This window comes from Homo sapiens, chromosome 4 (genome assembly GCF_000001405.40).
Source record: "Homo sapiens chromosome 4, GRCh38.p14 Primary Assembly".
NCBI lineage: Eukaryota > Metazoa > Chordata > Mammalia > Primates > Hominidae > Homo > Homo sapiens.
In genome coordinates, this window is record NC_000004.12 from 68,052,987 (window position 1) to 68,073,848 (window position 20,862).

At 36.0% G+C, this 20,862-nt stretch overlaps 1 protein-coding gene, 1 long non-coding RNA gene and 1 pseudogene across 6 annotated transcripts in view; 1 reads left to right on the plus strand and 2 right to left on the minus strand.

Annotated features, from left to right (window-relative positions):
* Positions 1-211: 211 nt before the first annotated feature.
* TMPRSS11F (transmembrane serine protease 11F) overlaps positions 212-20,862 on the minus strand; it is a 76,672-nt gene continuing 56,021 nt past the window's right edge. For 3 of the 4 annotated variants that reach the window (NM_207407.2, XM_047415669.1, XM_047415670.1), the window contains 6 exons: positions 19,337-19,500; positions 16,983-17,021; positions 15,632-15,833; positions 11,699-11,958; positions 6,340-6,482; positions 212-1,081 (listed from right to left, as the gene is read on the minus strand). In NM_207407.2, coding sequence (NP_997290.2) covers positions 923-1,081; positions 6,340-6,482; positions 11,699-11,958; positions 15,632-15,833; positions 16,983-17,021; positions 19,337-19,500 — 967 coding nt within the window. In that variant the 3' untranslated portion in view covers positions 212-922. Of the gene's footprint in view, positions 1,082-6,339; positions 6,483-11,698; positions 11,959-15,631; positions 15,834-16,982; positions 17,022-19,336; positions 19,501-20,862 lie in introns of those variants that run through there. The other variant, XM_011531935.2, reaches the window with a different exon arrangement.
* Positions 522-20,247, plus strand: LOC550113 (uncharacterized). Its single transcript, NR_046116.1, has 3 exons — positions 522-572; positions 7,629-10,235; positions 20,119-20,247. It is a non-coding gene; the product is annotated as an uncharacterized LOC550113 (long non-coding RNA).
* SYT14P1 (synaptotagmin 14 pseudogene 1) lies at positions 7,624-10,311 on the minus strand (annotated as a pseudogene). Its single transcript, NR_027094.1, has 2 exons — positions 8,926-10,311; positions 7,624-8,865 (listed from the first exon to the last, which is right to left on the minus strand). The product of NR_027094.1 is annotated as a synaptotagmin 14 pseudogene 1 (transcript).

Sequence of the window (20,862 nt, forward strand, 5' to 3'; positions counted from 1 at the left end):
GTCAGAGAGCTGAAGACTTACAAAAGTACCAGTTGCCATATACTGATATAAATATTTCTAAGTAAATAATTGGATAACTCATTCCATCAAAAATTAGCGTGCTTGTCCTGTTACTAATTATTTGAAACCAATTCTCCTAGCCTTCATCTGCTTCTTTTTATCCTCCTGTGCTCATGGAAAAACGTTCCAAAGAGTCTTAATTTTTTTTTTTGTCCTTTCTGGGCCAACTGCTACTAACATATAGATGGCAAGATGCTGTTAAAGAATAAATCAGAAAAGCTTCTTAACAACACAACATGCTTCCTGAAGCTAGTGCTTGAGTTATAACACTGTGTTAACAGCAAGTTCAGATACATTTAAAAACTTTTAAAATGTCAACTGTTGAGGTTAGAGATAGTGCTCTGTATTATTAGATATAAGCCCAGTTCAAGTCATAATGCAAATCCCATGCTTCTCCATTCTTGCACACTGAAGGTCCACTTATCAGTTCTAGAATGTTGAAGCCCTGAGTCTTCAGGGAAGACTGTTCTTTTTCACTAGAAGAATCTCACATGCTCCAGGTATTATATGAGGTAAGATTTTGGCATTACTGGCAGCTCTTCATATCCTGTGGAAAATGATGTTCCTGTCTTCAATTGAGGGAAACCACTTATTTATCTTATTAGGAAGTATCACAAGCAGTTTCCCTTGTGAGTAAGGAATAGGTGCTGTCTGTCATTTGCTGTGTCTTCTTCCCTCATGGTAGAGAGGGTTTGGTCCTACGTATGTAAAGGCCACCTCAGGATATTAGATTTGTCTGGGTCTGAAGGGCTTCTTGACATCTAGCAAAAGCACTAATCCAAAGTAAATGAATTTAAACAATACAAAATACGCAGGAGTATCAGCTCTGTGTGCCATGTGTATAACTCATGGGCAATCCACACTACATACCAGTCTTTGAGGCAATCCAATCTCGATACTTAGTTACTCTGGTGTAGACTCCAGGTTTTTTGGGAAGTGCACATGATTGTCCCCAACTTACTATACCTACAATGTACCAGATGTCATGATTATCATAAACCAGAGGTCCACCAGAATCTCCCTGAAATAAAAACATATTTTAAATTGTTAACTCTACTTTAATTCAGTGGGAAGGTATTGTAATCTGACGTTCACAGAGAAAAAAGGAAATTGGTACACAGACCACAGCCAGACTACAGACTATATAATGGGTCTCTCAACTGAATTAAAATTTTTGCTAAACTTTAAAGGGCATTGTTTTTCATAGGAAGGCTAACATTCATTCACAGGAAATGGTTACATTAATTCTGTATCAGTATCCTTAGGTTTTTTTTTTCTAGTTTGAACAGGCCTGTTTAGCATGGTTTAGTAACTATGTATATAAAATGTTAAATGTGAGATTAGCATTTGTAAGCCTAGGTATACAATTTCAAGGATCTCTTCCAAATGCTGTCACCTTGATTGTATTTTATGGACCTATTTTTGGTCTCCTTTTCTGTTACTCACCTATTTCTAATTAGTTTTCTTGCTAAATTTTTATAAACTCCTTTAAATCTCATTTGGAAAACAAAAATAAGAACAAAGAAGATTAAGTAAATAAACAAATAAACATGTGGTCGTTAAAAGTGTGGTCTCAGCAGCTGAAATGCCGGTTTCAGGTCCAGCTCTATTAATTACTGGCTGTATGACCCTAGGTGAGATACTTAAGCTTTCTGTGTCACTTCCTCACTTATTTATTTATCTGTTTCTTTAATTAACTATTTATTGAGTTCCTATTCTATGTCTGAGGCAATCTGATGTCTGTTAGGGATAAAATGATGAACATAAATGACAGGCCCCTGTGCTCATAGAGTTTGAAGTTTAGGTTAAAAACAACAACAACAACAACAATATTAAATAAGCCCAAAAACAAATGCAAAATTACCATCATGATACGTGCTATGGTAACACACAACAGGGAAGTTTGACTGATAAGGAAAAACAGGAAAGTTTCCCCTGATGAGTATAATTGAGCTGATATCTGAAGGAAGAAGAGCAGAGCACAAGGGAAGTGGGGGTTAGGTGTGTTATAGGCAGAGGGAACAGTATTGCAAATGCTCTGTGGCGCGAAGGAGCCTGGCAAATGCAAGGGCCTAAAAAAGGAGGTGGATGTAGAGAGGAGTGTAAGAGGGGCAAATAGTGTGTGATGAGTCTGGAAGGTAAGGAAAGACAAGTCCATGTAGAGCCTCATAGGTCTTGTTTAGAAGTTTTTGTTTGTATCTTAAGACTAAAGGTAAGCCACTGAAGTGTTTCAGAGAGAGATCTGACATGATTAGCCTTTTTTTGGAAATGGTTCTGGCTCTTATTTGACTAACGCATGAGAGGAGCATAAGAGTAAAAATGAGGAAATTAGCAAGACAGCTAGTGTAGTTGTCTGGTCAAGGGAGGAAGGAAAGGAGTGTGAAAGAGAGGCAAAGAAAGGAGAAATGGTGATGCAGAAATATTTAAGAAGGTAAAACAACCTATTAAGACTGAATCATGAAGAAGTGGAAAACCTGAAGAAATGGAAAACCTGAACAGATCAATAATAAGTAAGAATACTGAATCAGTAATTAAAAAGTCTCCCACCAAAGTCAAGTCTAGGACCAGATGGCTTCACAATTCAATTCTACCAAGCATCTAAAGAAGAAATAATACCAATCTTTCTTAAACTCTTCCAGAAAACTTAAGAAGGAATACTCCCAAACTCATTTGACAAGGTGAGGATTACCTTGATACTAAAGCCAGATAAGGACACTTCAATATTCCTGATAAACATAGGATGTAAAAATCCTTAACAAAATACTCATGAACCAAATTCAAATAGATTAAAGGAATCATTCATCATTATCAAGTGGGATTTATCCCTCAGATGCAAGAATGGTTCAATATATTCAAATCAATAAGTGTGATTCATTACATTAACAAAACGAAGGCTAAAAACTATGATCCATTCAACAGATGCAGGAAAAGCTTTTGAAAAAATTCAACACACTTTTGTAAGAAAAACTTTCAACATAATAGGTGTATGTCAAACACAATAAAAGCCATATATTGGCTTTTATTATTAAAGCCATAGTGAAAAATCTAAAGTGTTTCCTGTAAGACCAGGGACATCAAAAGGATATCTACTCTGATTTCTTTTCAATGCAGTTCTGGAAGTTGTCGCTAGAGAAATTAGGCAAGAGAAAGAAATAGAAGACATTCTAATAGAAAAGGAAGACATGAAATTGTCTTTGTGTGTTGACAACATGATCTTATAGATAGAAAACCCTAAAACCAACAAAAAGCTGTTAGAAGAGATAAACAAATTCAGTAAGTTTGCAGAATACAAAATCAATATACAAAACTCAGTAGTGTTTCCATATACTAATAGTGAGCTGTCTGAAAAGGAAATTAAGAAAACAATCCATTTACAATAGCAACAAAAAAAAAATAGCAAAAAAAAAAAAACACTTGGGAGTAAATTTAACTGAAGAGGTGAACGCTTTGTATACTGAAAACTGTAAAATATAGAAGAAAGAAGCTGAAGAAAACACAAAAATGAAAAGATACTCCATGTTTATGGATTGAAAGAATTATCATTGTTAAAATGTTCATTAAAATGTTAAAATTATCATTGTTAAAATGCAATCCCTACCAAAATTCCAATGCCATTTCTTTCACAAAGAAAGAAAACAATCCTTAAATCCATATAGAAGCAAAAAAAAACCTTGAATAGTCAAAATAATTTTGAGCAAAAAGAACAGAGCTACAGGCCTTATACTACCTGGTTTCAAAATGTCTTATAAAGCAATTGTAATCAACATAGTGTGGTCCTGGCATAATAACAGATTCATCAACTAATGGAATAGAATAGAAAGCCAGAAAAAAACACATATATTTATGGTCAATTGATTTGTTGACAAAGATGCCAAGAATACACACTGAGGAAAAGATAGTCTATTCAATAAATGGTGCTGGGAAAATTGGTTATCTATATCAGAAGGATAAAATTAGGCTGGGCGTGGTGGCTCATGCCTGTAATCCCAGCACTTTGGGAGGCTGAGGCAGGTGGATCACTTAAGGTCAGGAGTTCGAGACCAGCCTGGCCAACATGGAGAAACCTCATCTTTACTGAAAATATAAAAACTAGCCAGGCATGGTGGCACATGCCTGTAGTCCCAGCTACTCAGGAAGCTGAGACAGGAGAATAACTTGAACCTGGAAGGCAGAGGTTGCAGTGATTCTAGATCGTACCACTGCACTCCAGCCTGAGTGACAAAGCGAGACTGTCTCAAAAAAAAAAAAAAAAAAAGGAGAAGAAGAATGAAATTAGACCCTTACCCTTACACCATGCACAAAAAGAAACTCAAAATGGATTAAAAACCTAAACTTAAGACTTGAAACTATAAACTACTAGAAGAAAACAGACAAAAACTCCATGACATTGGTTTGGGCAAGGATTTTTGAATATTACCTCAAAAACTCAGGCAACAAAAGCAAAAATAGGCAAATCAGATTGTATCAAACTGAAAAGCTTGCACGGCAAACAAAACAAAACAACAATTAATAAAGTGAAGAGACAACTCACAGAATGGGAAAACATGTTTGCAAACCATATATTTGATAAGGGCTTATATCCAAAATATATAAAGAAGTTAACACAATAGCAAAAAACAAAACAAACAAAACCTGATTTTAAAAAATTGGCAAAGGACTTAGATACCTCTCAAAAGAAGACATACAAATGACCATCACATTCATGAAAAAAATGCTCAGTATTACAAATCATTAGGGAAATGAATTTAAACCACCTAAGTGGAATCAACCTCAGTGTTCATCAATGTGTGAAGAGATAAAGATAATATGGTATATCTACAAAATAAATATTATGCAGCCATAAAAAGAATAAATTCTGTCCATTTGGGACAACATACATGAATCTAGAGGACATTATGCTAAGTGAAATAAGCCAGGCACAGAAAGACATATACTACATCATTTTACCTATATGTGCAATCTAAAAAAGTTGGATTCATAGAAGTAGAGAGTAGACTGATGATTACCAGAGTCTGGGTGAGCCTAGGCGGGTGGAGAGTGAGGGAAAGGGGAGTTGCTAGTCAGAGGGTGCAAAGTTTCAGTGAGAAGGAATAAGTTTTGAGATCTACTGCAAAGCAGGGTGACTATAATCAATAATACTGTATTATAGATTTCAAAATAGCTAAGAGAGTAAATTTTAGATGTCTATCACAGAGAAAATGTTAAGTGAGGTGATGGATATGTTAATTAGCTTTACTTAACCATTCCACATTGTATACATGTATCAAATGTCACATTGTACTCCATAGATGTAATACAATTATGATTTATCAATAAAAAATAATGGACAGTGAAATCTAAGCTGGAAAAGTAGAAGCTGGAAGAAAGGAAATGATTAATGAACTGTGAGAAAACAGAGGAATCAATGGACAATAGGTGTCTATGAAGTTGAAAAAAGACTTTTTCATTCAATCAGTCATCACATATTTTCACCAGTCTATTTCAGGTGCAGTAAATAAAATAGATTAAAATATGTCTTCCTTCATGAAGCTTACATTTTAGTTAGTGGAGAAACAGGAAATAAGCTAGATAAATAAACATACTGCATACTGGATGGTGACAAAGGCTGAGGAGAAAAATAGAACAAAGAAAGGACACAAGGAATGTACATGTAGGTTGTGCATGTTGGGAATGAGAGTTGGTAGACTAGGGTATAACATAGTAAGTGTATATAGGGAAGCAGTAGTTAAAAAGCAAGGGGGAAACACTGGGGGATAGTAGTCAAAAAGGAAGATGCAAATGAGCACTTTTGGAGTGGAGTAGTTTTTGATAACAAGGCCCATAGTGTGACTCTAAGAGGAGGGTCTGAGGTGGCTGAAGAGTATAGAAGATCACTGGAGAAGAGGAGGTCTAGGAACTAAAAGTCCAGCATTTAAACAGGTCAGTGTTGCTAATGCAGGGCTTGGAATGGAAAGAAAACTTGTTTCAGCTGTCGCTGTCATTAAAAAATGTGAGGGGCGAAGGGAAATGACTGGGAGGCTGGGGGATGAATATGGTAATTATAATATTGCTTTTATCTCATTACATTAAATGAAATAATGTATAAAAAGTGCTTAATTTTTGGCTTAGCGTATATTAAACACTCAATACAATTATTGTTATTGTTATGATTATTAAATAAAGTCAGTTCTCGGTGTAAGAGATGCCATTTTTTTTTCTCCTAGGTAAAATATATGCCAAACTCAGAAATAGCTAATGGAAACTTTCCTCATAAACTTTTGGCCTTGACTTTAAACTTACCTTACATGCATCTATTTTTCCTTCCATGAATCCAGCACATAACATTCCTGGAGTTATCAGGCCATCATACACATCCTTTCTGTTACACACATCAGTGCTTATGGTTTCCACTCTGGCTTGCCGAAGTGTATTTTGTATAGGTCCTATTGCACAAATGGATAAAAAAACAAATAAACAGTATTCCTCAAATACAATTGTATCTAAGACATAGAAGACACATAAATTGTAGCAAAAGCCAAAGATTATTTTATTAACATTAGCTATCATCTTATTTTCTGTCATAAATGTCTACATGCAAGGAATCATAAACATACATGTTCCAGTATTATATCACATTTGTAGATCTTTCAAGGATATTAGGAGCCTTAAAACTACATGCAAAATACTACATACGCATGCATTTTTTCATGAGGAGAGGGTCCATAGTCCTCATTAGATTCTCATACAGGTTCATAACATTGATCTTGTCCAACTGCCACATTCTCCATGTAAGGAAACCATGGTCCCTGGAAGTTCACTGACATTCCTAAAGCTATTCAAGTAGAAACCAGGACAGCTGCACAGATCTCTTCACCCTACTCTACTCTGTCATGTATTATTTAGGGGTGTCTCACAGCATGGGAAACAAAATGAATGCCCAATATGTGCTAGTGATCTGATGACAACACAGAACAGGGCTGGGTGTTAGGAGGAGAGGATACTGCACAGTTGAATATCGAAAATAAGTAGTTTAGGGCTCTGGGTTGAAGCTATTGGTGAGTAGCCCTGAGTTAGCTGTAAGAGACTTTTAAGAACCTCTCACAAAGCCAAGTTGGATATGCATGGGGCATTTGGAAAACTTTTCATATAATAAAATTCTGTCAAAAAAAAAAGCTAGATTAAGATATATTAGCAGTAGTTGGCCAGGCGTGGTGGCTCACACCTGTAATCCCAGTACTTTGGGAAGCGGAGGCGGGCGGATCATGAGGTCAGGAGATCGAGACCATCCTGACTAACACGGTGAAACCCTGTCTCTACTAAAAATACAAAAAAAAAAAAAAATTAGCCAGGCGTGATGGCGGGTGCCTGTAGTCTCAGCTACTCAGGAGGCTGAGGCAGGAGAACGGCGTGAACCTGGGAGGCAGAGCTTGCAGTGAGCCAAGATGGCGCCACTGCACTCCAGCCTGGGTGACAGAGTGAGACTCCAACTCAAAAAAAAAAAAAAAAAAAAAAAAAAGATATATTAACACTAGTTTTTTTTTCAGGATATCCTTGACAGAAACATAAGTATCTCTCTTTTTTTTTTTCAGGTTCTAATTCCTACTCGTTTATTGTAAAAATCCTGGAGAAAGCTCATTGATGTAACAATAAAATATGAATTTTTCCCTTTAATGCAGCCCTGTAAAACACATTCTCAAACCTCATGTCATCCAATATACCTTTTGTATTTTTTCTTATAATTCATGTGTATGAATGCATAGAGCTGCTTTTTTTAAATGAAAAAATACAGAATTTCACGGTCTTTTTGGATTTCTTTTAAGGCCTTTCAGTATATCCAAGCTGAAGTAACATCTATGCATTGTTTTGTTATTATGGTAATAACAAGTTCTAGTTTATAATAATATATAGTACTTTTTTGGGACTAGGAGCAATGATATACTGCTTTTTAGTAACTGGTAAATAGTATGTTTTTGTCTATTTGAACTAGAAATGAGAAGGAGAAAAAAGAAACTATTTTTAATATATATAAAACATACTCTATTTAATAAAGTATATGCATAAAATGATACATTAGGTAAGAAGCAAAATTATAAAGAAAACAGCTTATAATATTCCTGATTAATTAGAGTTTCTAAATATAAAAACAAATGAAAGTGACTTGCCATTTACAAAATTAGCACATCATACAACTTTTACATACTTCGGAGGAAATAAAGATCTTGCGACACTGTTCTGAGGAATCGTTGCATTTATAAAAATCGAAGGCTTAATTTTGCAAATACAACTTTCAAGCCGTATGAGCAAATTCAACTTACATGAAAGGCACAAGATAACATCATGTTGAAGAACTTTATCCGTAAATTTCATAAAGTCTAGTCACAAGTTATTGGAAACTTCGTAAGGAATCTCAGAACTGTTTTTAACATGATGTTCCGATTTAAACTGAGAACTGCATAGTCTTTATATCACAAATGTAAATTGAAGTAAGAGTGAAGATTTAGAGAGAGAATAGTTTCTTATTTTGGATGCTACCTGCTTTAGGCAGTGTTGGTTACTAAATACTCAGAGCAGAAAATTAAAATTGAATCGTTTTTCATTTTCTACAGCTTATCTGCTGTGTTTTCAGTTTGTAAAAAAAAATGTATTTTCACATTACTGCAATTTTTGAAGAGTCAATCACTGAAAGAAATTTTAAAGTAAAGTCTTGCTCTACTAGCTTCCTACATTGAAATACAAGAATACAGGAAGTGCTTTCAACAGAAAGTTACGTAGTTCTACAGTACAACCTGTCTAAAGACTTGCAAGGGACCAGCACAGTGACTTTGTCTCTTTGGATCAGGCAAAAGCAGAAGCAAATGAAAAATGAACTTTTAAAAAAAAATTAACATATTAAAAACATTCCTGTATGAAAACGAATGCTTGTCTGCACTTAGATTTAGTGCTATAGAGAGGAACTGAGGCACAATGAAACTAAGTGCACAAAAGGAACATGTCTGAAATAAAACAATTTTCAATGTGACTGAAACCCTTCGCCATTAGATATGACTTACGATAGGGTTGGAGGACTACTTTTTCATATTAAAGAACATTACAAACACCAGGGACTGGCCAAACTATGTTTTATAAATAATATGTAGAGTGATATTAAAATTATATTGCGACTAAAACTCTGGTTTTTAAAATCACTTATAATTTTGATTTTTCATAAAATTACCGGCTCTTTTGCTAAATTAAAATTAACTTCAAATCAAAAACATCTTATTAAATTTCTGGAGGACTGTTAGTTTAACAATGATAATGTACGTTTCTCAGTTTCCCAAACAAGCTCTATCAGATACACATATTTTCTTCATTTATCTCAGTATTAGATGTTCTTTCCATAGAACTTAAAGCATTTTGGTAAAAGGTTGAATATGATTCTTCAAAGAACAGCTCTTCCAATGGCGACTTGGTAGAAACAGTAATGTTGTAATTAGAAATATGCTGCATTGGATGGTAACTGTTTGCTTATTGTATTCATCGTGACTCTAGCAACGCCTGCCATCTACGTACTTGCCGTCCTTTTGACTCTTTCATTTCAGTCCAGTGATTGAGTTCTTCTCCAGAGCTGTTGAGACCTAAATAAATCCAGCCTATCATCTTTCTTCTCATGCTGCTTTTGTTATACACAGACAGCATGAGTGTCACATGAGAAAGCTGAAATAGGGTCACTTTGAAAACAAAAGTTTCCTTGTATACTGGATTTGGCCGCCCTCTGCGGATGGATATCTTGCATTTGGACATCTCTTGATCCGTGGATTTCCGTAGAGTTAACTTAACATATGTATTGGGTGGTCTGTTTGCTGCCCAATTTTTTAAGTGGCTGCCTTTTATCACTTCTGCTGATAGTCTCCCATTTGTGGCATTATAAAGCAGGCTAATGAGAATTTCTGGAACTGACCCGTCTTCGAGAGACTGACATGCGGATGTACTTTCACTACAAGACATTTCTGACACGCTCATTTGGGAGTCACAGACACATTTTATCTTGTGAATTGTTCCTTGTACTGTATTCTGAACCAAGATCTGGAAGCCCTCCAACATTTTCAAAACAGAACTGCTTATTAATATAGAGAAAAAGAAGCAGCATCAGGATAATAAACACCCAAACAGCTGACAAAAACCCAACTGCCTCTGGAGATACTTTTCTAAAACAGGTAAGTTCATGTACTCCACAGGTTCTCTCTCCACCTTCAATCGCCATGATGAGCTCACCATGGACCGCACCAACTGATGGCGGAAACTTAAGTATTTCTTATTTCTCATTAAAACATTCAGTTAATCTTTTTCTCTCTTTTTTTTTGTTTTCTGTTTTTGTTTTTGTTTGTTTTGAGATGGAGTCTTGCTCTGTCACCAGGCTGCAGTGCAATGGCGCAGTCTCGGCTCACTGTAACCTCCACCTCCCAGAGTCAAGCAATTCTCCTGCCTCAGCCTCCCAAGTAGCTGGGACTACAGGCCTGCACCACCATGCCCTGTTAATTTTTTTTTGTATTTTTAGTAGAGACGGAGTTTCACCATATTGGCCAGGGTGGTCTTCATCTCCTGACCTCATGATCCGCCCGACTCGGCCTCTCAAAGTGTTGGGATTACAGGCTTGAGCCATCACCGCTGGCCTAATCTTTCTCTTTAACGTAGAGTGAACTAGTACCTAGAAATCTTAAGTTCTGGTGTTTAATTTATACAATTACTAGACTTGATGTCTTTTAACACCCCTAGCAGGTTGGACACAGGAAAAAGATACAGATTTTATTGACTAACCAAAAAAAATGCTCAAAATATTTACAACCCACTTTAATGTTTATGATCATCATAAATTCTCATACAATGAGAAATAATTAAAATAAACAAAGGAAAAAGCTATCATTACATTTGCGATTTAAATTATATGCTGAATAAAATAAAGTATATGTGATTTAAAGTATATGTAACATATTTATATCTAGGAAAGACAAAATTTGTGATTACTTACTGCCTTGCACTCCCATAGTGTTCTGTCCCTTCTTATATCACCTGATGCAGTTGTTTCTTTTCCTTCTATATTAGTCTCTCTCCCTGACTTTTTTTTTTTTTCCACCGCTCTAGTTGAGCAGTTGAGGAGATTTCTTTCTTTCTTTTCTTTTTTTTCTTTTTTTTTTTTGGAGACGGAGTCTAGCTCTGTCACCCAGGTAGGAGTGCAATGTTTCGATCTCAGCTCATTGCAACCTCTGCCTCCTAGATTCAAGCAATTCTCCTGCCTCAACCTCCCAAGTAACTGGGATTACAGGTGCACACCACCATGCCCAGCTAATTTTTTTTGTATTTTAGTAGAGATGGGGTTTCACCATGTTGGCCAGGTGTGTCTTGAACTCCTGACCTCAGGTGATCCGCCAGCCTTGGCCTCCCAAAGTGCTGGCATTACAGGTGTGAGCCACCACACCCGGCCACCACTGCTCCAATTGTAAACTCAAATACAGGACCTGATTTTTACTTTTTAACCCACAGTCTCCTGTTCTGCCCAAGGCCACACATACTGGAAAGACCATTACTTTTATTAAAAGCTTAAGAGGGATTCTTTAAGATAGATAGCTCGTTTGATCTCAAGACATTCTTGTGCTAAGAAAATTAGGTTGAAACTGCTCACCATCATCTACAATGGATCCAAATCCTGTGACGAACACACTTGTTTTAGGTGGCAACTTTATAGATGAGTCTGGGAGGCAAACTCTCTGGACTATATTTGAAAACTCAACTCCAGTAGAGAGCTGAACCAAAGCAATGTCATTTTCATTTGTTTCTCTATGGTAATTCTCATGAAGAATAATTTTCCTCACATTTCGTTTCACTGCGGGTGGTGTTATAGTTGCACCAAAAGTAGCAATCCATTGAGTTGGGTCTTTATTTCTGCAAAAAATTAAAAAGTAATACTTGTGATGCTTGACTTAATTCTGTAAAAAAGACTGAGACTGTATTTCTTCCCAACTGTCAGTATTATGCTCCTGAAACATTCTTTTGGTGAGAAAGTTTGTAGTTGATAACATAATAGGAAAAAAATTGTTTTTAAATTTATTACAATTAATTATGTACAAATAATTAATAACTGATTAATTTCCAATTTTTAAAGTTCTTGCTTGCTGGGAACTCTTCAGGTTCTTTTTTCCTTAATTTCAACAAACTGTGTAGTAATTAATTTTGATTTGTTTTGGATAATATACATAGTAAGAGGCATTTTCTCTCCATGTCATATCTTCCACCGATTCTTATTTTATGACTCACTTTTTGGTTCTTATTTTACTGGTTTTACTGTGATCGTTGAAGTGAAGCGTAATTTGTCTGCTTTGCAAACCTTCATGTATACACATGGTTTTTTCTCTACCCTACGCCCATATCCCTCCTTGATATACAAGGGCTAACTAATCCTAACTCAAAGTCAGCTCCTACCGCCCATGGATCTGGCCTGGTCAGTCCCTCTTACTAGACTTTCAGTTCTCCTTTCACATAGATGCTTTTCTCTCCCATAGATGCTTTTCTCTCCCACAAGGTTTATATCACCAGCAAATTCTAGCTAGTCCTATTATGTCTTTACTTCCTCATGGTCCTCCAAAGCCTGGTTCTTTCTTTTTAAAGTTATCCTCATCCTGGGTGACTGGAAATATATAGTAACTTGAAATTCTATGGTTGAAGAAAGGATTACTATGTTGGTGAATCATCAACCTTTAAATGTAATAAAAAAAAAAAACCTGAAAGATCAGTGGTTTCCTAAGTGCTGCACTGCCCTAAAAATGAGCAGGCAGAGGCCAGGTGTGGTGGCTCATGCCTGTAATCCCAGCACTTTGGGAGGCCAAGGCGGGTAGACCATGAGGTCAGGAGTTCAAGACCAGCCTGACCAATATGGTGAAACCCCGTTTCTACTAAAAATACAAAAATTAGCTGGGTGTGGCGGTGTGTGCCTGTAGTACCAACTACTCAGGAAGCTGAGGCAGGAGAATCGCTTGTTGAACCTGGGAGGTGGAGGTTGCATTAAGCCAAGATCACACCATTGAACTCCAGCCTGGGTGACAGAGCAAGACTGTCTCAAAAAAAAAAAAAAAAAGAGCAGGGAGATGGGAGGGGTTCTGCTCTCATCTATTTCACTTCTTTAGAGATTAAGATAAGATTTTATTCAAACCTGAAATCTTAGGACTAACTGAAGCATCCATTTGAAAACTAGACACTAGATACTAGAATTCTCAGAGATACAAAGACATATATGACTTCAGGCCTTAAGGAGTTTACAAATGAATCAGATAGAGAATAAAAATTATCCCATTCCTTTATGCATTGTCAATAAGAAAGGAAGCCTCACCTGATAGGCCAATTTAACATGTTTTATGAATACGAAAATTAAGACCCAGAAGTTCGGTGATTTGTGCAGGTAAGTGACACTCTGCTGGTTAGTGCCAAAAGGAGATGGTTCTGGTCTCTTTCCATCCTTTCAAGAATGTTTTCCCCACTCACACTGTTTCACAAAGACTGTAATCATTTTTCATAGACATAAAGGTTTTAAGGTTTGTCTTAAATATGATTTTGAAAATACATTATTTCTGCAGAAAAAATAAATTTATAAAAACTTAGGCCGGGCGCGGTGGTTCACGCCTATAATCCCAGCACTATGGGAGGCTGAGGCGGGCGGATCATGAGGTCGGGAGATCGAGACCATCCTGGTTAACACGGTGAAACCCTGTCACTACTAAAAATAAAAAAATTAGCTGGGCGCGGTGGCGGGCGCTTGTAGTCCCAGCTACTCGGGAGGCTGAGGCAGGAGAATGGCGTGAACCCGGGAGGCAGAGCTTGCAGTGAGCTGAGATAGTGCCACTGCACTCTGGCCTGGGCAAAAGAGCGAGACTTCATCTCAAAAAAAAAAAAAAAAAATTAAAGATGTGAATAATGCAATATTGTCTTCAAAGTACCACGTAGTTTTCCTTCACAACAGTATACCACATTGTGTGATTACATGAAATTATTAATATATCACTTCTAAATTGCACTTTTTTTTCTCTAGGATCATCACTTTACCCAACTCTTTTGGATTATTATTATCAGCATAAAATATGCTATAATGTGTCTCCCATATTTTTAAAAATCTTTCCTTTAACTTCACAACTTCCCTCAACTGTCAAATTTGGTCTGATCCCTTTCATTTAAAAACTTCTTAAAAGCAGTTTAAAAATTTACTGCATCTAATCCTCCTTCCATTTTCTATTGAATCATTCCCATCCCTATCACATTAGAAAAACTTCTTTTATCAAAGTCACTAGTAATCTCTACTTCATCAAGCTCAATGGGCAATTCCCATGTAGGTCTGTGAGTACCCAGAGCCTGCACTGGACCTGCTGAAACAAGTATTTCAATCGCCACAGCCTGTATTCTTCACTAAATATTAAGTTGGAATTCTGGATTTGTTTATTTTTAATTTACATAAAGAGAGATCAGTTATAAACTAAAATGGAAGACACTCTCACAAAAACAGAAGTGCAAAGATTGGAGGACTGTGTGAATATGAAAAAATTAGAAAATCTTCACAAGTGAGTGGGACTCAAATTTGCCCATAAGGCATAATGCCAGTTATTTCGGTAGTTGTAAATACACATATATAAGTGAGTCCCTTTTCTCTTCTTTTCTGCGAAAAAGCAACAGATAATCACCTTAGTATCTTGGAACCATCTGGGATGTTACCCTTAGAAGGATGATAAAGCACCTCTGAGAATCACCAGGGATAGGCTCCTTTAATAAGGTGCAGGGTGCAGAAGTAGTGCCACTGGCCAGGCAAAGGGTCTTTATTTAGAGTTTTGTCTTTGAGAGTTTAGAAGGAAAAGCTTTCTGTACCATGATGGTAAAACCTCAGGGAAGAAAGATGGTGTGTTCCTGACCTCTTGGGGCAGTAGGGTGCCTATGTATGTCTCTGTACATGAAGTGACACAGCTGAGTTTTAAGAGGTACAACCATGAAAGCCCAAACAGAGAGATTTTGCTGGGCTGTACATAACCAGTCTTGAATACTGTGAGGGGAGTAAGACAAGGTAGCAGGTCTCTCCCACCTTCCACACACTTTTCTGGACCATACAGGCCTGCAGGGTTCCTAGAGAATGCAATGAGAAGTGAGAACTTCAAGAGGGATACCTATGATTCTTTTCTTATTTGTAAAGTGATGGCAATGCTGACAGTGGAAAGTTAGAGGGATTAATTGGAAAAAAACAAAAGTAGCTGACTTTCTTCTTGAGTATGTAAAAGAGATTAAACTTGTTACATGTGTAATAGTCTTCACACTAAAATAATCTACATATTATTTTATATAATATATAATAGGAAAGACAGCACTAGGGTCATGATGATAGAGGAAAATCTGTAAGAACTACAAATGACAAAAACTAACCATCATAGATAGGGCATAGGGGAAGCATAATCCATTTAGGGGACAGCTAGGTCTACCCTGAATGGAGCAAAGGTTAAACTGGAGAGACTGGACTCTTCTGATGCGCTAAATCAGTGGCAGATGAGGACTGTGAAAAGAAGGCTCACAGCAGCCTTGGTTAACTTACTTCCAAAAGCAGTGAGCTGCTGTGAGCAGCCATGTGTTACTGATGAGGCTGGCTCCACACTGATGGCCTGACCCTATGAGCTGGAGGCTGGCCTGCCATGGCCATTCCCCTTCCATAGCTGTTTCCCTTCCTTGGACAATTCTTTGAGTAGAAGAGGATGCTGGTAATGGCATGTTTGAAGATGTCATCCTTATTCCACAGCCTGCCACAGAAATACATGATCATTCATATTCATAAAAAGGAGGAAAAAAGTATATTCTGATTTGCTTTGGTTATAGACAATCCTTTGTCCCTGCTACCATGTGAACCATTCATAGCACTCAGCCTTTGAGCTTATTTGATACAGGTCTTGCTGATCCTACTGAGGTTCAGAAGAAATGTTTACTAACATTTCAAGGCATTCAGTCCAGGAATTAACTTCTATCTCTCCTTATAAAGCATATATAGATAATTCATTGAGCACCAAAAATGTATAGATCCTCTGCTATGTGTCTTAGATGTATTTATAGAAACATACCTTTTAGATGAGAAAATTAAGCCTTGAAGAGGGAACATTGCTGGCGGTCACCCAGCTGGTAAGTGACAGAGTGGGATACAAAATTAGGAGGATCCACACCAAAACTAGTAGCAGTATCCTTATTACTGAGAGAGAGCCCAATACTAACTGTAGGTCATGATTTTCCCTTAACTAATGACTAAAGAGAATCAATTTATTGTGTTTGCAAAGCCCTGTATTTTAACAGATTTAAACACTATCGACCTTTTTGGTCTTTTAAAACTTGAAAGGCTAGTTTAAAAAAAAATTCTTCTTCCCTGATTTCAAACCCTCAATTGACTAGATTTCAAGTCAATCTTAAAAGAGAACTTAAAGTGTTACAACATTTTTAATGGGCATGTTTGTCCACAATAGACCTTAACTATGTACCAATGCTGGAATGTGGGGTGCAGGGCAGGAAGAGCAAGAGAATGTACATAACAGATATTTCAATAAAAATGCAAGCAAATTAAAAAAAAATTAAAGCCTAAATGTTACCAGTTTAAAACACTCTCTTGAATTGTTAGATAATATTAAAAGTTATTTATAATGAATATTAATATAATATCTAGAATATTATGTAAGGTGTTTTTAACCACATCTCGTAGGTCATATAAACTTAGAATTGTATTTGGTATAAATTTATAAATTTAAATACTTAAATGCTAAAAATAATAAAAAGACTAAGTGTTCGGTTTACAAAAATATAAAATGAGTCTTAAAAAGCTTGGTAAACTTTACTGCCAACTTTTCTATAACTTTTTTCATGATCTTTTACTGTGAAATAAACAGTTAATTGTGGGTTTTGGAACTTACGACTGTTGAGAAGATTCCTCATCTTTTTGCTGTCAATAGCTGGAATAAGCAAAACATGAATTAGTTGGCAGAAGAATATATTCCCATTTTCATGTTGTGTTGTTCAACTGGTCATTAATAGAAATGTGAATTATCTAAAGCATACATATTTCAAGAGAATATGAGATTTTTCATAATCAAGTCATATATAAATAACCCTTTACTCTGATTTTATTTTTGGTCCAAATTGTGTAATTTAATTTAAAATTAAATCAGAGAGCATTTTATTTCCTGATTTTGCTCAGGAAAAAGAAACAGAAATTAGGAAATTAGGAAATAATAAATAAAGATAAATGTCCCTGACTGCTTTCTTTGGGGGCTCCAGTATAATCTGAGGCAGCAACCTCCAATTCCCATCACAGTTGGTGTTTACCAACCTATATGGTTTAGGCATATTCCTAATGGCCAGTCAGAAATGGTAGCTCTATGGAGCTAAATGCATCACAGACCCCTGAGGGCCCAATTTCAAGGCCCTGATCTAACAGACTAGGAATTTAGTCAATGCAGGTTGATAACCTTGTCTCCCTGAGGATTCTCTCTTGTGAATGGCTTGGATGGTTGTGGCTCAGGCAGCAGGCACTAGAGGCATGAAGTTCTTTCACATACAACCAGTCCAGAGACTCCAGCCATACACAAACTTTCACTTCATTTTATGTTTCCCTTCTGTGACATCTTTTTTCCCTTCAAATTTATTCATTCATTTTCATTATAACTCAGCTACATTAGATGTTTGTTGGGTTAGTGATTGGTTTTCTGTTTGTCAGTGAGAACATGGGGAATTACAGTGATTTTATTAGAAACATTGACTTCTCCCCAAAAAGGGATGCGAGCCCCAATTCCTACTAGAGGTTTCATGGATATGTCTATTTAACAAAATACATGTATGTGGCAGAAGAAAACATACACAGTTAAATCTTCATTATTGAGCATGGTCAGAGAATTTAGTTATTTTGGTATTAAAACAACTTGTATCATAAAAAATCATTGTATGTAACCAACAATGCCAAAATTTTTTAATAAATTATACAATAAGAAACTCTACAGCTGTAACAACTCAGTAAACATAATATAATGTCACTTTTGTAATGGATATTTTACTTTAGGATATATGATTGTGGCTTAGGCACAGTTATATCATCAGGAATTGAGATTTCCACTTATAGAATGCTGGAAAATACTTTGTTTTACTTTGGAATATAATTGATTAACAATCAAGGTGGATACCGTACTCTCCCTTATTTCTAATTACTTCTTGAGAATGTAACAATATTTGTGGGGATTCTATCTCAAAATATATTTAAAGAACTTTCCTGATTTCTAACAACAAAAGAATTAACTTTAGATAACTTGTTTCCTAAATAAATGCATGACTATTGGGAAGGGAGAAGTCTTTTGGGTCCAAAATACAAGCCCCTCTCCCATCTTTTTTTGTATTAAATTAGAAGTAACTAAACTTGGAAATACATAACAAGAAGCAATGAAAGGAGCTGGAACATCTATCACATGTGACATGTATGCTAGTGTTTGAGGGAGGAGAAAGAAAATAAAAAGACACAGGTCCTGCCCTTGACATTTAAAATTTTATTTGAAACGCATTATTTTACTACCTTCAATTACATATTGGAATAGAAATCAGCTCGGGTTCCAACTAGCTGTAAGGTAGTTTGAATTTTAGTTTCCTAAACTTTTTGAACTTCCTTTTCTTCCGCTTTGGAAGGAAAACAAAACAAGAACTTTCCTATTTCAATTCATGAGCAATAAATAAGGAAGTGATGAAAAATAGTTTTAAGTTGGAAACAAGCTAGAGAACCTCTTTACAGTTCATGTCACTGGCTCTTCCTACAGGGGTAAACCTTCATGAAGATGTCTTTCTTTGATACTGTAAAAAATAACCCCCAGAAATGATCTGTAAAGACCTCTGTGAGTCACAATACCTGTGTCTAATTCTAGCCCCAAGGTTTGCTAATCCCATGTCTCACATCTTCCTTGAGTCTCAGCTTCTTTACCTGTAAAATGGCGAAAGTAATACTTACCCTTTGGAACTTTTGTAAGGACCCAATAACATATGATATGGAAAAAAGTTTAGAAAGCTTATTAAAAGCCCTAGTAAAATATGAAAAAAGAAAAAGTTGTAATACTAAATTTTGCCTCATAGTGGAATTTTATTTTAGTTTTATTCCATGCTGAGATTTTATATATATATATATATCTTCCAAAAAAAAAATATATATATATATATATATTGCTTACAAAAATTAAAGAGGGTTGTAAGAGGAGGGAATGACAAAAGTGGCAAATAAAAATAAAAGACTTACGTGTGAGTCTAAATGATGGTTTGTTTATGGTCAAAGACAATTGTTTGGTCTTCAAACTTTGATATAAAGCCTTTTCAATTTTTTTCTTGATTTGTTCAGCACTATCAGTAGATGGGTATCGAAATATGAGCACTATAAGAATATCCACACCTTGTTCATCTGGACTGAAGAACAAAAAAGCAGATAAAAATGGCATTTATCTAATCATTAATGACTTTAACTTATTAGGACTCACATTAAACTTAAAAAACATAATGCATGATACATGTGCATACCAGATTTTTAAATTATCTCTGGATACAGAGATTAAAAATGAGTGTATAATAACCAGGAAGTGTTGGAAGCACTGTAGAAGAAATAAAGACAACATTCTGGAAATACTGGATAAAATACCTACCTGAAAACAGTTGTTCACTGTCCTTACTTAGCTCATAGTTTAGAGGGGTTTGCGGGCGGAGATGTTGGTGAAATCATGCTTTATACATACTTAAAAGGCTTGCTTTTTAAGGCATTTTGAACAAAAGCTGTAACTAATGTCATTATTCTTTAGAAGTGGTGTGACAGGGAGGATCCTTTTGTTTACCAAACCTAGTTTCCTTTGTCTCCTGAGCATAGAGGTAGATTCCATTTCCTGGGCTTTCCTGAGGTTTACTGAAACTTTCTAATGAATCTGGCCAATGAAATATGGAAAGAAATAATGTTCCCCACTTCCAGGTCTGGCTTCTAATAAAACCTCTCATGGCATTTTCCTTGCTCTCACTCTTCCCTTGTCTGCCAACCAGATGCAGAAGATCCAGTGGGCAATTTCATTTCATAATCTTGATTGGCACCCACACCCTTGCCCCAACTTCTGACTCTTTGGACTGTACCATAAAAAGGAAATAAACCTTTACTATATTAAAGCACTGACATTTTGGGGTCTGGTGGTCTGTTAATAGATAAATGATTAAAGAAAGCAGTTATAAAAGAGAATCATTTGATAAACAGTTCAAATATATAAATTTAAATTGTGATGTGCAGGGTTAAAAAGCCTCAAGAAATCTTTTCAGAATGAATTTAATTTGAGAGATAAAAGAAAAGAAGGAAGGAAGAAAAGGAGAAAGGGAAAGAAGGAGAGAGGGAGGAGAGAAAAGTGGAAAGGAGAAAGGAAAAAGTCAAGAAGGTATGAAAGAAAGAAGTGCAAGAGAAAAAGGAAAGACATGAAAAGCCATTTTAAACTAACAATAAACATGCACTGTCATGAAAGAAACACTTTACTGTGGAGAAAGTCATTGTCTTCTGGTGGAGTAGGCTTAAAATGAGGAAAATGAAAAAGACGTTAAGTTCTACTTAGCCCCTAGCTTAAGAGACGGGGGGAAGAGGGAATGTTAACTGTGTCATTCCCCTGTTTCTTGTGTTTGTTTCCTCTTTTTGTATCCAATAGCTGAGATTTTCTTGTCACAAAGCACCTTACGACTTTCTATTGTGATTGGGAAATAAGTAGGAAACCTTGGGCTGCTCAAGATTTATGAAATCTCTGTGTTGCT